A 15,094-nucleotide genomic window follows, 5' to 3' on the forward strand; every position below is an offset into this window, starting at 1 on the left:
AATATTTGGAATCCAAATGTGCAGCAACATGAAAATGAATAAACAATTTGTGGTATATTCTTACAATAAAAATATTTCTCGAAATAAAAAAGAAAATGTGGAGGTTCTAAGATGGCCGAACAGGAAGAGCTCCAGTCTACAGCTCCCAGAGTGAGTGACGCAGAAGACGGGTGATTTCCACATTTCCAACCGAGGTACCGGGTTGACCTCACTGGGGCTTGCTGGACAGTGGGTGCAGGACAGTGGTTGCAGCCCAGGTACCATGAGCCGAAGCAGGGCGAGGCATGGCCTCACCCAGGAAGTGCAAGAGGTCAGGGAATTCCCTTCCCTAGCCAAGGGAAGCTGTGACACACAGCACCTGGAAAATCGGGTCACTCCCACCCTAATACTGCACTTTTCCAACAGTCTTAGCAAATGGCACACCAGGAAATTATATCCCACAACTGGCTCAGAGGATCCCACACCCACGGAGCTTTGCTCACTTCTAGCACAGGAGTCTAAGATCGAACTGCAAGGCTGCAGGGAGGCTGGGGGAGGGGCATCCGCCATTGCCGAGGCTTGAGTAGGTAAACAAAGCAGCCCCAAAGCTCGAACTGGAAGCTCAAACTGGAAGCTCGAACTGGAAGCTCGAACTGGGTGGAGCGCACCGCAGCTCAAGGATGCCTGCCTGCCTCTGTAGACTCCACCTCTGGGGGCAGGGCATACCTGAACAAAAGGCAGCAGAAACTTCTGTAGACTTAAACTTCCCTGTCTGACAGCTTTGAAGAGAGTAGTGGTTCTGCCAGCACAGAGTTTGAGATCTGAGGATGGACAGACTGCCTCCTCAAGTGGTTCCCTGACCCCTGAGTAGCCTAACCGGGAGGGACCTCCCAGCAGGAGCCGACTGACACGTCATACGGCCAGGTGCCCCCTCTGAGACGAAGCTTCCAGAAGAAGGATCAGGCAGCAACATTTGCCATTCTGCAATATTTGCAGTTCTGCAGCCTCTGCTGGTGATACCCAGGCAAACAGGGTCTGGAGTGGACCTCCAGCAAACTCCAACAGACCTGCAGCTGAGGGTCCTGACTGTTAGAAGGAAAACTAACAAATAGAAAGGACATCCACACCAAAACCCCATCTGTATGTCACCATCATCAAAGACCAAAGGTAGACAAAACCACAAAGATGGGGAAAAACAAGAGCACAAAAGCTGAAAAGTCTAAAAAGCAGAGTGCCTCTTCTCCTCCAAAGGAACGCAGCTTCTCGCCAGCAACAGACCAAAGCTGGATGGAGAATGACTTTGACGAGTTGAGAGAAGAAGGCTTCGGAAGATCAGTAATAACAAACTTCTGGGAGCTAAAGGAGAATGTTCGAACCAATTGCAAAGAAGCTAAAAACCTTGAAATAAGATTGGACAAATGGCTAACTAGAATAAACAGTGTAGAGAAGAACTTAAATGACCTGACTGAGCTGAAAACCATGGCACGAGAACTACGTGACGCATGCACAAGCTTCAGTAGCCGATTCGATCAACTGGAAGAAAAGGTATCAGTGATTGAAGATCAAATGAATGAAATGAAGCAAGAAGAGAAGTTTAGAGAAAAAAGAGTAAAAAGAAATGAACGAAGCTTCCAAGAAATATGGGACTACGTGAAAAGACCAAATCTACGTCTGATTGGTGTACCTCGAAGTGACGGGGAGAACGGAATCAAGTTGGAAAACACTCTTCAGGATATTATCCAGGAGAACTTCCCCAACCTAGAAAGGCAAGCTAACATTCAAATTCAGGAAATACAGAGAATGCCACAAAGATACTCCTCGAGAAGAGCAACCCCAAGACACATAATTGTCAGATTCACCAAGGTTGAAATGAAGGAAAAAATGTTAAGGGCAGCCAGAGAGAAAGGTCATGTTACCCACAAAGGGAAGCCCATCAAACTAACAGCTGATCTCTCGGCAGAAACTCTACAAGCCAAAAGAGAGTGGGGGCCAAAATTCAACATTCTTAAAGAAAAGAATTTTCAACCCAGAATTTCATATCCAGCCAAACTAAGCTTCATAAGTGAAGGAGAAATAAAATCCTTTACAGACAAGCAAATGCTGAGACATTTTGTCACCACCAGGCCTGCCCTACAAGAGCTCCTGAAGGAAGCTCTAAACATGGAAAGGAACAACCAGTACCTGCACTGCAAAAAACATACCAAATTGTAAAGACCATGGAGGCTAGGAAGAAACTGCATCAACTAATGAGCAAAATAACCAGCTAACATCATAATGACAGGATGAAATTCAAACATAACAATATTAACCTTAAATGTAAACGGGTTAAGTGCTCCAATTAAAAGACACAGACTGGCAAATTGGATAAAGAGTCAAGACCCATCAGTGTGCTGTATTCAGGAGACCCATCTCATGTGCAGAGACACACATAGGCTCAAAATAAATGGATGGAAGAAGATCTACCAAGCAAATGGAAAACCAAAAAAAGCAGGGATTGCAATCCTAGTCTCTGATTAAACAGACTTGAAATCAACAAAGATCAAAAGAGACAAGGCCATTACACAATGGCAAAGGGATCAATTTAACGAAAAGAACTAACTGTCCTAAATATGTATGCACCCAATACAGGAGCACCCAGATTCATAAAGCAAGTCCTTAGAGACTGACAAAGAGACTTAGACTTCCATACAATAATAATGGGAGGCTTTAACACCACACTGTCAACATTAGACAGATCAACGAGACAGAAAGTTAACAAGGATATCCAGGAATTGAATTCAGCTCTGCACCAAGCGGACCTAATACACATCTACAGAACTCTCCACCCCAAATCAACAGAATACACCATCTTCTCAGCACCACATCACACTTATTCCAAAATTGACCACATAGTTGGAAGTAAAGCACTCCTCAGCAAACGTAAAAGAACAGAAATTATAACAAACTATCTCTCAGACCACAGTGCAATCAAACTAGAACTCAGGATTAAGAAACTCACTAAAAACTGCTCAACTACATGTAAACTGAACAACCTGCCCCTGAGTGACTACTGGGTACATAATGAAATGAAGGCAGAAATAAAGACGTTCTTTGACACCAATGAGAACAAAGACACAACATACCAGAATCTCTGGGACACATTAAAAGCAGTGTGTAGAGGGAAATTTATAGCACTAAATGCCCACAAGAGAAAGCAGGAAAGATCAAATATTGACACCCTAACATCACAATTAAAAGAACTAGAGAAGCAAGAGCAAACACATTCAAAAGCTAGCAGAAGGCAAGAAATAACTAAGATCAGAGCAGAACTGAAGGAGATAGAGACACAAAAAACCCTTCAAAAAATCAGTGAATCCAGGAGCTGGTTATTTGAAAAGATCAACAAAATTGATAGACCACTAGCAAGACTAATAAAGAAGAAAAGAGAGAAGAATCAAATAGACGCAATAAAAAATGATAAAGGGGATATCACCACCGATCCCACAGAAATACAAACTACCATCAGAGAATACTATAAACACTTCTACGCAAATAAACTAGAAAATCTAGAAGAAATGAATAAATTCTTGGACACATACACCCTCCCAAGAATAAACCAGGAAGAAGTTGAATCCCTGAATAGACCAATAACAGGCTCTGAAATTGAGGCAATAATTAAGACCCTACCAACCAAAAAAAATTCCAGGACCAGACGGATTCACAGCCCAATTCTACCAGAGGTACAAAGAGGAGCTGGTACCATTCCTTCTGAAACTATTCCAATCAATAGAAAAAGAGCGAATCCTCTGTAACTCATTTTATGAGGCCAGCATCATCCTGATACCAAAGCCTGGCAGAGACACAACAAAAAAAGAGAATTTTAGACCAATATCCCTGATGAACATTGATGTGAAAATCCTCAATAAAATACTGGCAAACCAAATCCAGCAGCACATCAAAAAGTTTACCCACCATGATCAAGTGGGCTTCATCCCTGGGATGCAAGGCTGGTTCAACATATGAAAATCAATAAACGTAATCCAGCATATAAACAGAACCAAAGATAAAAACCACATGATTATCTCAATAGATGCAGAAAAGGCCTTTCACAAAAATTCAACAGCGCTTCATGCTAAAAACTCTCAATAAATTAGGTTTTGATGGTATCTATCTCAAAATAATAAGAGCTATTTATGACAAACCCACAGCCAACATCATACTGAATAGGCAAAAACTGGAAGCATTTCCTTTGAAAACTGGCACAAGACAGGGATGCCCTCTCTCACCACTCCTAATCAGTATAATGTTGGAAGTTCTGGCGAGGGCAATCAGGCAGGAGAAGGAAATAAAGGGTATTCAATTAGGAAAAGAGGAAGTCAAATTGTCCCTGTTTGCAGATGACATGATTGTATATTTAGAAAACCCCACCGTCTCAGCCCAAAATCTCCTTAAGCTGATAAGCAACTTCAGCAAAGTCTCAGGATACAAAATCAATGTGCAAAAATCACAAGCATTCCTGTACACCAATAAAAGACAAACAGAGAGCCAAATCATGAGTGAACTCCCATTCACAACTGCTTCAAAGAAAACAAAATACCTAGGTATCCAACTTACAAGGGATGTGAAGGACCTCTTCAAGGAGAATTACAAACCACTGCTCAACAAAATAAAAGAGGACACAAACAAATGGAAGAACATTCCACGCACATGGATAGGAAGAATTAATATCGTGAAAATGGCCATACTGCCCAAAGTAATTTACAGATTCAATGCCATCCCCATCAAGCTTCCAATGACTTTCTTCACAGAATTGGAAAAGACGACTTTAAAGTTCATATGGAAGCAAAAAAGAGCCCGCATTGCCAAGACAATCCTAAGCGCAAAGAACAAAGCTGGAGGCATCATGCTACCTGACTTCAAACTATACCACAAAGCTACCGTAACAATATGGTACTGGTACCAAAACAGACATATAGACCAATGGAACAGAATAGAGCCCTCAGAAATAATACCACACATCTACAACCATCTGATCTTTGACAAACCTGACAAAAACAAGAAATGGGGAAAGGATTCCCTATTTAATAAATGGTGCTGGGAAAACTGGCTAGCCATAGGTAGAAAGCTGAAACTGGATCCCTTCCTTATACCTTATACAAAAATTAATTCAAGATGGATGAAAGACTTAAATGTCAGACCTAAAACCATAAAAACCCTAGAAGAAAACCTAGGCATTACCATTCAGGACATAGGCATGGGCAAGGACTTCATGTGGAAAACACCAAAAGAAACAGCAACAAAAACCAAATTGAGAAATGGGATCTAATTAAACTAAAGAGCTTCTGCACAGCAAAAGAAACTATCATCAGAGTGAACAGGCAACCTACAGAATGGGAGAAAATTTTTCAATCTACCCATCTGACAAAGGGCTAATATCCAGAATCTACAAAGAACTTAAACAAATTTACAAGAAAAAAAGCAAACAACCCCATCAAAAAGTGGGCAAAGGATATGAACAGACACTTCTCAAAAGAAGACATTTATGCAGCCAACAGACACATGAAAAAATGCTCATCATCACTGGCTGTAAGAGAAATGCAAATCAAAACCACAATGAGGTACCATCTCACACCAGTTAGAATGGCGATCATTAAAAAGTCAGGAAACAACAGATGCTGGAGAGGATGTGGAGAAATAGGAACACTTTTACACTGTTGGTGGGACTGTAAACTAGTTTAACCATTGTGGAAGACGGTGTGGCGATTCCTCAAGGAACTAGAACTAGAAATACTATTTGACCCAGCCATCCCATTACTGGGTATATACCCAAAGGATTATAAATCATGCTGCTATAAAGACACATGCACATGTATGTTTATTGAGGCACTATTCACAATAGCAAAGACCTGGAACCAACCCAAATGTCCATCAATGATAGACTGGATTAAGAAAATGTGGCACATATACACCATGGAATACTATGCAGCCATATAAAAGGATGAGTTCATGTCCTTTGTAGGGACCTGGATGAAGCTGGAAACCATCATTCTGAGCAAACTATCACAAGGACAGAAAACCAAACACCGCATGTTCTCACTCATAGGTGAACTGAACAATGAAAACGCTTGGACACAGGGTGGGGAACACCATACACCGGGGCCTGTCATGGGGTGGGGGGAGTAGGGAGGGATAGCATTAGGAGATATACCTAATATAAATGACGAGTTAATGGGTGCAGCACACCAACATGGCACATGTATACATATGTAACAAACCTGCAAGTTGTGCACATGTATCCTACAACTTAAAGTATAATAATAAAAAAAAGAAAATGCTATCAATATATGCCATAATATGCATAAATCTTAAAAACATGCTGAGCAAAAGAAGTCAGATATAAAAGAGTGCATAATGTGTAATTTCATTTTTATAGAGCTCAAGAATAGAAAAAAAAAAGTACTCTATAGTTATAGAAACCAGAGCAATGGTTGCTTTAGAAATAGAAGAGGGCACTGTTTATAAAGGGGCTTGAGGAAACTTTTGAAGGAAATGGAAATTTTATAAAACATGCTTTGGCTAAAGGCTACATGGACATACACACATGTCAAAACTCATCAAACCCTACACTTTAAAATCTGTGCAGTTAACTGTGTATAAATTATGCAAAAGTATTTATAGTTGATTTCTCATCAGAAACCATGAAGGCCAGAAGGCAGTGGCATAGTGTATTTAGAGTAATAAAAGAAAAAGACTGTCAACTAAGAACTATATGACCAGCAAAACATCCTTCAAAAATGAAGATGAAATTGAGATATTCCCAGACAAACAAAAACTGAGAGAGTTGTTACAACTATATCTTCCCTACAAGACATTCTAAAGGAAATCCTACATGGTAAAATTAAAGGACACTACACAGTAACTCTAATGCATATGAAGAAACAAACAGGCTGGTAAAGGTAACCACGTAGGTAAAAACAAAAGGCAATATGCATGTATTTTTGTTTGTAACTCTTTTTTTCCCATCGTCTGGTTGTAAAGATAACTGCATAAAGCAATAATTACAAAGCTCTGTTGATGGAGGCTATAAAATCAAAAAACAAAAATCAATTTTATTTCCATACACTAGCAACAATCTGAAAATAAAATTTTAAAAATAATCCCAGTTACAACAGCATGAAAAATAACAAAATTTACAAACAAATTTAACAAAAATAGTAAGAAGTACAACACTTGCACACTGAAAATTGTGAACTATCATTAAAGTCAATTAAAGAATATCTAAAAAAATAATAAGATATTCCATGTTCATGGTTTAGAAAGTTTAACACTGTTAAGATGGTATGGCTATTTCCATCTCCAGCACTGTGAGAGGAACCGCCACCATGTCTGTGCTTCTGCAGTGGATGGTGGTGCAGAACTGCTCCAGTTCCCTGATCAAGAGGAATAAGCAGACCTACAGCACCAAGCCCAGTAACCTGAAGCCCCACGTTCCCTCTGCTACCATGCCAACTCACCACAAGACTGTGGATGTGAAGCCAACAGCCGATGGAACAGTGTGGTGGTGGTCATGAAACAGAGATCAGGCCAGCAAAAGCCAGCCACCTCCTACACGCACGCAGACCACCATCAACAAGAACAACTGGGCCACTTTCAGCAGCATCAGGCACATGATCCTCAAGAACAAAGACTGCCCTGACCTGCACGTGGCTGCCATCCACAGGGCTAATGCCATCCTGCATAGCCAGAGCCTGTGATGGTGAAGAGGAAGTGAACCTACCCCAACAAGAGTGCGTGAGCCCCCGTCCCCCAAAAGCAATGGTCAGATGACCTTTTCCCCACCAAAAAAAAAAAGAAGAAGAACAGTAATAAAGATGGTGTGGTAAGCAGAATAACGACTCACGAAAAGATAGCCACATTCGAAATCCTGGAACCTGTTAAAATGTTAACTTCTGTGGCAAAAGAGAATTTGTAGATGTGATTACATTAAGGACCTTGATTCGGGGGGCTGGTACTGGATTGTCTGATTGAGTCCAATCTGATCACATGGGTCTTTAAAAGTAGGGAACCTTTTCCAGCTGTGGGAAGGAAGTGTGACTTCAGAAGTGAGAACCAGGGAAATAGCAGCCTGTGAAGGACTTGGCTTGCCATTGTTGTCTTGGAAGATGGTGAAGGGTGTGGTAAGCCAAGGAGTGAGGGTACCCTCTCGAGTGGCCAGGGAGGATGCTGTTAAGACCCATGTGGGACTTCTGACCTACAATATTATAAGATAAAATTTGTTGTTTTAAGCCACTTCATTGGTACTAATTTGTTACAAAAGTCATAGAAAGCTAATACAGATGGCAATACATCTAAATTCATATACAGATTCAATGCAATCCCTGTTAAAAATCTCAGCTTTGTTTTTGAAAGAAATTGGCAAGCTGATCATAACATTCATATGGAAATGAAAAGGATGAAGAACAGCCAAAACTTTGTCTTTAAAAAGGACAAAGGCAGATGACTCAGACCTCCTAATTTTACAACTTAGTACATAGCTGCAATAATCAAGACAGTGTGGATACAGACAGACATTTAGAACAATGAAATAGAATTAGGAGTCTAGAAATAAATCCATAAGTCTGTGACCAGTTGGTTTTCAACAGGGTTGCCTAGGCAATTCAGTGGGGGAAAGAATGGGCTTTTCAACAAATGGTGCTGGGAAAACTGGATTTCCACATGCAAAAGAATGAATTTGGACCCATACCTCACAATATATGTAAAAATTAACTCAAAAAGAATCAAAGACCATAAATATAAAAGTTAAAACTATAAAATGCTTAGAAGAAAGATAGGCATAAATCTTTTGTCCTTAGTTTAGGTAATGGCTTCTTAGCTATGACACTAAAGCATCGTCAACAAAAGAAAAAAAAATAGATAAGTTGGACTTCAACAAAATTAAAACTTTTAGGTTTCAAAGGACATCATCAAGAAAGTGAAAAGATGGGCAGGCATGGTGGCTCACGCCTGTAATCCCAGCACTTTGGGAGGCCAAGGCAAGTGGATCACTTGAGGCCGGGAGTTCGAGACTAGCCTGGCCAACATGGAGAAACCCTGCCTCTAATAAAATACAAAAAAAATAGCCAGGTGTGCTGGCACACGCCTATAATCCTAGCTACTCAGGAGGCTGAGGCATGAGAATTTCTTGAATCTGGAAGGTGGAGGTTGCAGTGAGCCAAGATAGCACCACTGCACTCAAGCCTGGGCAACAGAGCAAGACTGTCTCAAAAAAAAAAAAAAAAAAAAAAAAAAAGTGAAAAGATGACCCATAGAATGGGTGATAATATAAGCAAATCATATCTCTGATAAGGAGCTCACATTTATAATATATTAAAAAACTCTTACAACTCAACAATAAAAGGACAAATAATCCAATTTTAAAATGGGCAAAGGATTTGAACAGACATTTCTGCAAAGAAGATACACAAATGGCCAATAAACACTTAGAAAGATGCTTAAAGTAATCATCAGAGAGATGCAAATCAAAACCACAATGAGATGCCATTTCACACCTACTTGGATGGTTATAATTTTTTAAAATGAACAATAATGAGTGTTAGTAAAGATATGGAGAAATTGGGTCCTTCGTATATTACTGCTGAAAATGTAAAATAGTGCAGCTGTTTTAGAAAACAGTTTCTCAGTAATGAAGTATAGACTTACCATATTAACTAACAGTTCCACTCCTAGGTTTATATCCAAGAGAATTAAAAACAAGTGTCCACATAAAAATGTATGCATAAATGTTCAGCATTCTAGCATAATAGCCAAAATATAGTAGTAGTATTCATAATCGTGAAGAAAGTGGAATCCTTCCAAATGTCCCTCAACTGATGAACGGATAAATAAAATGTAATATCTCTATACAAGGGAATATCATTCAGCCATAAAATGAATGGAGCACTGATACATGCTATAACAATGATAAACTTTGAAAACTTTATGCTAAGTGAAAAAAGCCAGACACAAAAGGCCACATATGTGTGATTCCACATACCTGAAATGTCCAAAACAGGCAAGTCTATGAAGACAGAAAATAGATTAGTGGTTGTCAATGATCAGGGAGAAGGGAAAATGGGGAGTGCCTGCTAATGGTTACAGAGTTTCTTTTAACATTTTCTAAACTAAAAAATGTTAGAAACATAAAAAAAAAGAGATGGAGCAATAAAGCCCACTACAATGCCACCTCTTGGAGACAATGAAAATCTTGAAGTGATGAAAATGTTCTGGTTGGACCATGATGCTGATTTCACACATTCATGAATAATCCAAGAACCCCTGAAATGTACACTTTAAAAAGGTAAATTTTATGGTATATGAATCTTTTCTCAGTTAAAAAAAAGAAAAAAAAGAATGTTGTAGCCATCTGAGAAACAATCTGGAAGTACTTAGTGTTGCTAAATATGTGTATTCCTGTGACTCAGCAATCTCACCGCCTGTACACTTCTGATAATCAGATCCACATGGACATATGCGTGGGGATATTTATTGTATTGTTTTTGGCAGCGGGACACTAGAGGCAACCAGAGTCCATTACTAGGGGAATAGATATGTGAAATGAGGAGAATGCACACTCTGCGACAGCATGTAACAGCTAACCTCAGTGAGCCAGATGGACATTCTGTATTGTAAATAGATTACAGAAACAGTGATGAGCTTTAAAAAATAAATAAATAAATAGAAAGTGAGGAAGTGAACAAAATCTGTAACAAGTAAAACTTACGTAAATTAGAAATACATAAATACAATATATTCTTCAATGATGCATGCAAATGTAAGAATATAGCACCTTATAATGGCTACCAATGGTGGGCAGTGGCGGGGACAAGGAGTAAACACTCAGGATGAAGCGGGAAAATGATAAAGTAAAATAGGATCAAACCAAGCACATGCAGATGTTGATGCAGATGCTGATAATGTGCTATGAACGAGGAGTATAAATAACCCAACTCTCTGCCTTTGAAACCCAAAGGGAGAAAGATAAGGAGGATAAAAAGAAGGAAAGGCAAGAGGGAATGAGGGAAGAAAGACGCTAGCTCAGATACACTCCAAAATTTTAACAGAGGTGGTCTCCAGGAGGTGAGATTGTAGTGGGGTTTATTTCTCCACCTTTTTTTTTTTTTTAAAAAGTTTTTAACATTTTTTAATTTTAAAAAGTTAAGAAATGCCAAAAGTTTTAGATGGCTTTTGAGTGACATTTAAGGACAGCCAGAGAATTATAACCAGTACCATTCCCTTAGGTCATTAAAGCAGATTAAAAATGACTGCCCTGTGAAATGTAACCCATCACTCTCTCTCTCCATTCTTATCAGATACATTCTTGCCTTAAACTGGCATTCTGAATACTCAGAGAGTCACTAGTGACCTGGGTTCCACTCTGTGTGGTTGAATATTGTCACCCTGCTGAAAGAAGGGCATCTGATGGGTTTCTGACCAATAAGGCCGTCTCTCAAAAGACTTGAAATCAGTAAGAGAAAGGTTCTCCAGGATTTAACTCAGGACTAGCCAAAGAACTGAATGGGATGAGCAAGTGTCAGGAATCTCAGACATTCTTTTGGAGAACATCTCAGTACCTTGCTTGGCTCCCTGCTGGGGCAGCGCGGTAACCTCCACTGCTGGGTCCACCTAATGCTACCTGTAGATTCAACTTAGACCCAAGATCTGGTACTACCTACTTTAGAAGGGGGATATTAGGAACGCTGAGTCTAGCACTTTCTGGTTTCTCGTTGGGTCTGTCTTGTAGTTGGTTCCATGACTTGGTACCCAGTCCTTGCTGGTATGATTGTGTTTCATTTTCCTTCCTGGTGCCCAGGTTCTCCCATGACTGGGGTGCTCTTCTGCTAGTCCAAGTCCTGCTGTCTAAACCTAGATCCCATGACTTCTTCGGGTTGCCTGGTTTTCTACTTTATTCTGGCAGAGCTAAGTGACCTCTAGGCTTGGCCCAACACAGTCCTGGAGATGACAGACCTATAAAAAGTATGGTGCATGAGGCCTATAAGCCAGGAGAAATGTGAAAAGCGGCCACAGTGAGTTTGTCTGACACCAGTTGGAGCCCCAGATGGGTTAAGCCGTGTAAAATATGGGAGGGCCACAAAGGGTGTGAGTTGGGCATGGATGGGGGCTAGGGGGACATATTTTAATTAATGTTTTGAGAAAGAAGAGCAAAAGAAAAGGGATAGGGCTACAGCTCTGGGCAGATGGTTACTGTGAGCAGATGGCAGCCAGAAAGAGCACTATTTTTATTTCTGCTATATTCCTCAACATAGTGCCGTAAGATTAGGGATAGGCATGTACTCTTCAAATTTTCAGAGACGTGAAAAGAAAGAGGTCCATTTCACAGACTACAAATTGAGTAACAACTTACTATTACAATAATAGAGCAGTAACAATAATGAGCTTTAACATTTAGTGAGTGTTTATTACCTGCTGGGCATCCTGCTAGGTGCATTCCACATGTTGTCTTGTAATCATCACATGAAACCCATGAAAAAAGTATTAACTTCCTCATTTTACAGATGAGGAAACTGAGGCTCAGAGAAGTTGAGTATCTTTCCTTAGTTCCTGATGAAAATAGCCAGGATTTCAACCCAGGTGTGTTTGACTTCCAAACTGGTGTTCTTCAAACTCTAAAATAAATTATTCATGATTGTGTAGGAAATAAAGTGGTGTGCGTTAGGCGCCCACATGAGTGGGTTAACAGCCAGTCAAGTCACACTAAATTTAAATCACTTTATTAGACATTTTTACTCTGAACGTTCAGGGAAAGGCTAGAGAGCAAATATGCTTTGACTTCAGCAAGGCGAATTCTCCACAATGCCTTCACATACCAAAGGAAGGAAAGCAGTTTGGTGGACAACAGATTAGACAGACTTGAGGTGGAATGACCATTTCCTAAAAGTGTTGTTTAATCAATGGATAAAAACCTCCTACTCAGCAGGAGATCTTCAATGTTCTGCTGAAGGACTTTGAATTTGCCAGGTCCTGCTCAATATGTAGGCATATTTGTCAAATTACAGAAAACATAGGAACAATTATTATATTAGATGCTATACTAAAATATTTTTTTCAAATGTCATCAAGCTGGAATGATGAGTCACAACAGACAAGATAAAAATTTCAAGAAGGCCAGGCACGGTGGCTCACGCCTATAATCCCAGCACTTTGGGAGGCCGAGGTGGGTGGATCGCAAGGTCAGGAGATCGAGACCATCCTGGCTAATACGGTGAAACCCCGTTTCCACTAAAAAATAAAAAATAAAAAAAAAATACAAAAAATTAGCCGGTCGTGGTGGCGGGTGCCAGTAGTCCCAGCTACTTGGGAGGCTGAGGCAGGAGAATGGCATGAAACCGGGAGGCAGAGCTTGCAGTGAGCCGAGATTGCACCACTGCACTCCAGCCTGAGCGACAGAGTGAGACTCCGTCTCAAAAAAAAAAAAAAAAAATTATCAAGAAAAATAATATAAAATATGTTATGTAGGTCCGTAGCTACATTTAGAAAAAAACTGGGAAGAAAGAACCAAACAGCAGTCCTGTGACAAGTGCTGGGGATTTATAGTTGGCTACACAGTCAATCGGATGATATGATTGCTAAATGTAAACTAAACTAAATGGGTTAACCCAGTTAACCCATTGTTAACTGGGTTAACAATGTCAGGATAAACAGAGGCACTATTCCTTCCACCCTCAACACTACACAGACTCATTTTGATCCTGGGAATATTTTTTAGAGGGTTGTTTCAGTTACATATTTGATATGGTTTTGGCTCCACCTAAATCTCATCTTGGATTGTACTCTTATAATTCCCACATTATGGAAGGGACCCAGTAAGAGATGATTTGAATCATGGGGGCGCTTTCCCCTATACTGTTCTTGCGGTAGTGAATAAGTCTCATGAAAACTGATGGTTTTATCAGGGGTTTTCACTTTTGCATCTTCCTCATTTTTTCTTGCCACTGCCATGTAAGATGTGCCTCCCACCATGATTCTGAGGCCTCGCCAGTCATGTAGAACTGTAAGTCCAATTAAACCTCTTTTTCTCCCCAGTCTGGGGTATGTCTTTATCAGCAGCATGAAAACAGACTAATACAGATTTTGGTACCAGGAGTGGTTCTAGAGGAACAGAATATTAAGGACGGAGTTCTTTTGCTGGTTTTGGGGTTTCTGGAGTTGGCTGCTTTATATGATTAGACCCAAAAATACTAAGGACTCTACTTCTAATTGTATGGAGAACGCTGCTGGTGCTTGGCATAGACTGTTTAGAGAGTTCCTAGAAGTGAAACTGATAGGAAGCCTACTGCATTCCTACTCAATTTATATAAAGAGAAAACTTCTAGGCCAAATGGACAAAAGATGAATTTGAATTATAAAACAGAGGATCATGACCCCTCAATCAATTTCCAGACTTGAGCCAGTTTACAGACACAGAACCCCCTGAATGAAAGGGAGACTGGGTCCCCTTGAGGAAGGATCCCACTACATTACTGACAATTTATGCACTGAATTTTTCTCCCATCCTTCCCCAAGGAGACCTCTGGCCTTTTACTAGGGTAACTGTGCATTGGGGAAAGGGAAATGATCAGACATTTCGGGGACTACTGGACACTGGCTCCGAGCTGACGTTGATTCCAGGAGACCCAAAACGTCATTGTGGTCCTCCAGTTAAAGTAGGGTCTTATGGAGGTCAGATAATTAATAGAGTTTTAGCTCAGGTCTGACTTACAGTGGGTCCAGTGGGTCCCTGGACTCATCCTGTGGTCATTTCCCCAGTGCCAGAATGTATAATTGGCATAGACATACTTAGCAACTGGTGGAACCCCCAATTGGCTCCCTGACTGGTAGGCTGAGGGTTATCATGGTAGCAAAGGCCAAATGGAAGCCATTAGAGCTGCCTCTACCTAGAAAAATAGTAAATCAAAAACAATATTGCATCCCTGGAGGGACTGTGGAGATTAGTGCCACCATCAAGGACTTGAAAGACGCAGGGGTGATGATTCCCCCCACATCCCCATTCAACTCTCCCATTTGCCCTGTGCAGAAGACAGATGGATCTTGGAGAATGACAGTGGATTATCGTAAGCTTAACCAAGTGGTGAGTCCAGTT

At 40.4% G+C, this 15,094-nt stretch overlaps 1 pseudogene, besides 1 other annotated feature; it reads left to right on the forward strand.

Annotated features, from left to right (window-relative positions):
• Positions 475-975: an enhancer, noted in NCBI's record as "H3K4me1 hESC enhancer chr15:58485939-58486439 (GRCh37/hg19 assembly coordinates)". NCBI's record gives its function as "activates a minimal SCP1, AML or CMV promoter by ChIP-STARR-seq in naive H9 embryonic stem cells {active_cell/tissue: H9 hESC(naive)}" and the evidence as "EXISTENCE:reporter gene assay evidence [ECO:0000049][PMID:30033119]".
• On the forward strand, positions 7,303-7,669 carry RPL28P4 (ribosomal protein L28 pseudogene 4; annotated as a pseudogene).

The sequence above is a fragment of the Homo sapiens genome, chromosome 15, assembly GCF_000001405.40.
Source record: "Homo sapiens chromosome 15, GRCh38.p14 Primary Assembly".
Lineage (NCBI taxonomy): Eukaryota > Metazoa > Chordata > Mammalia > Primates > Hominidae > Homo > Homo sapiens.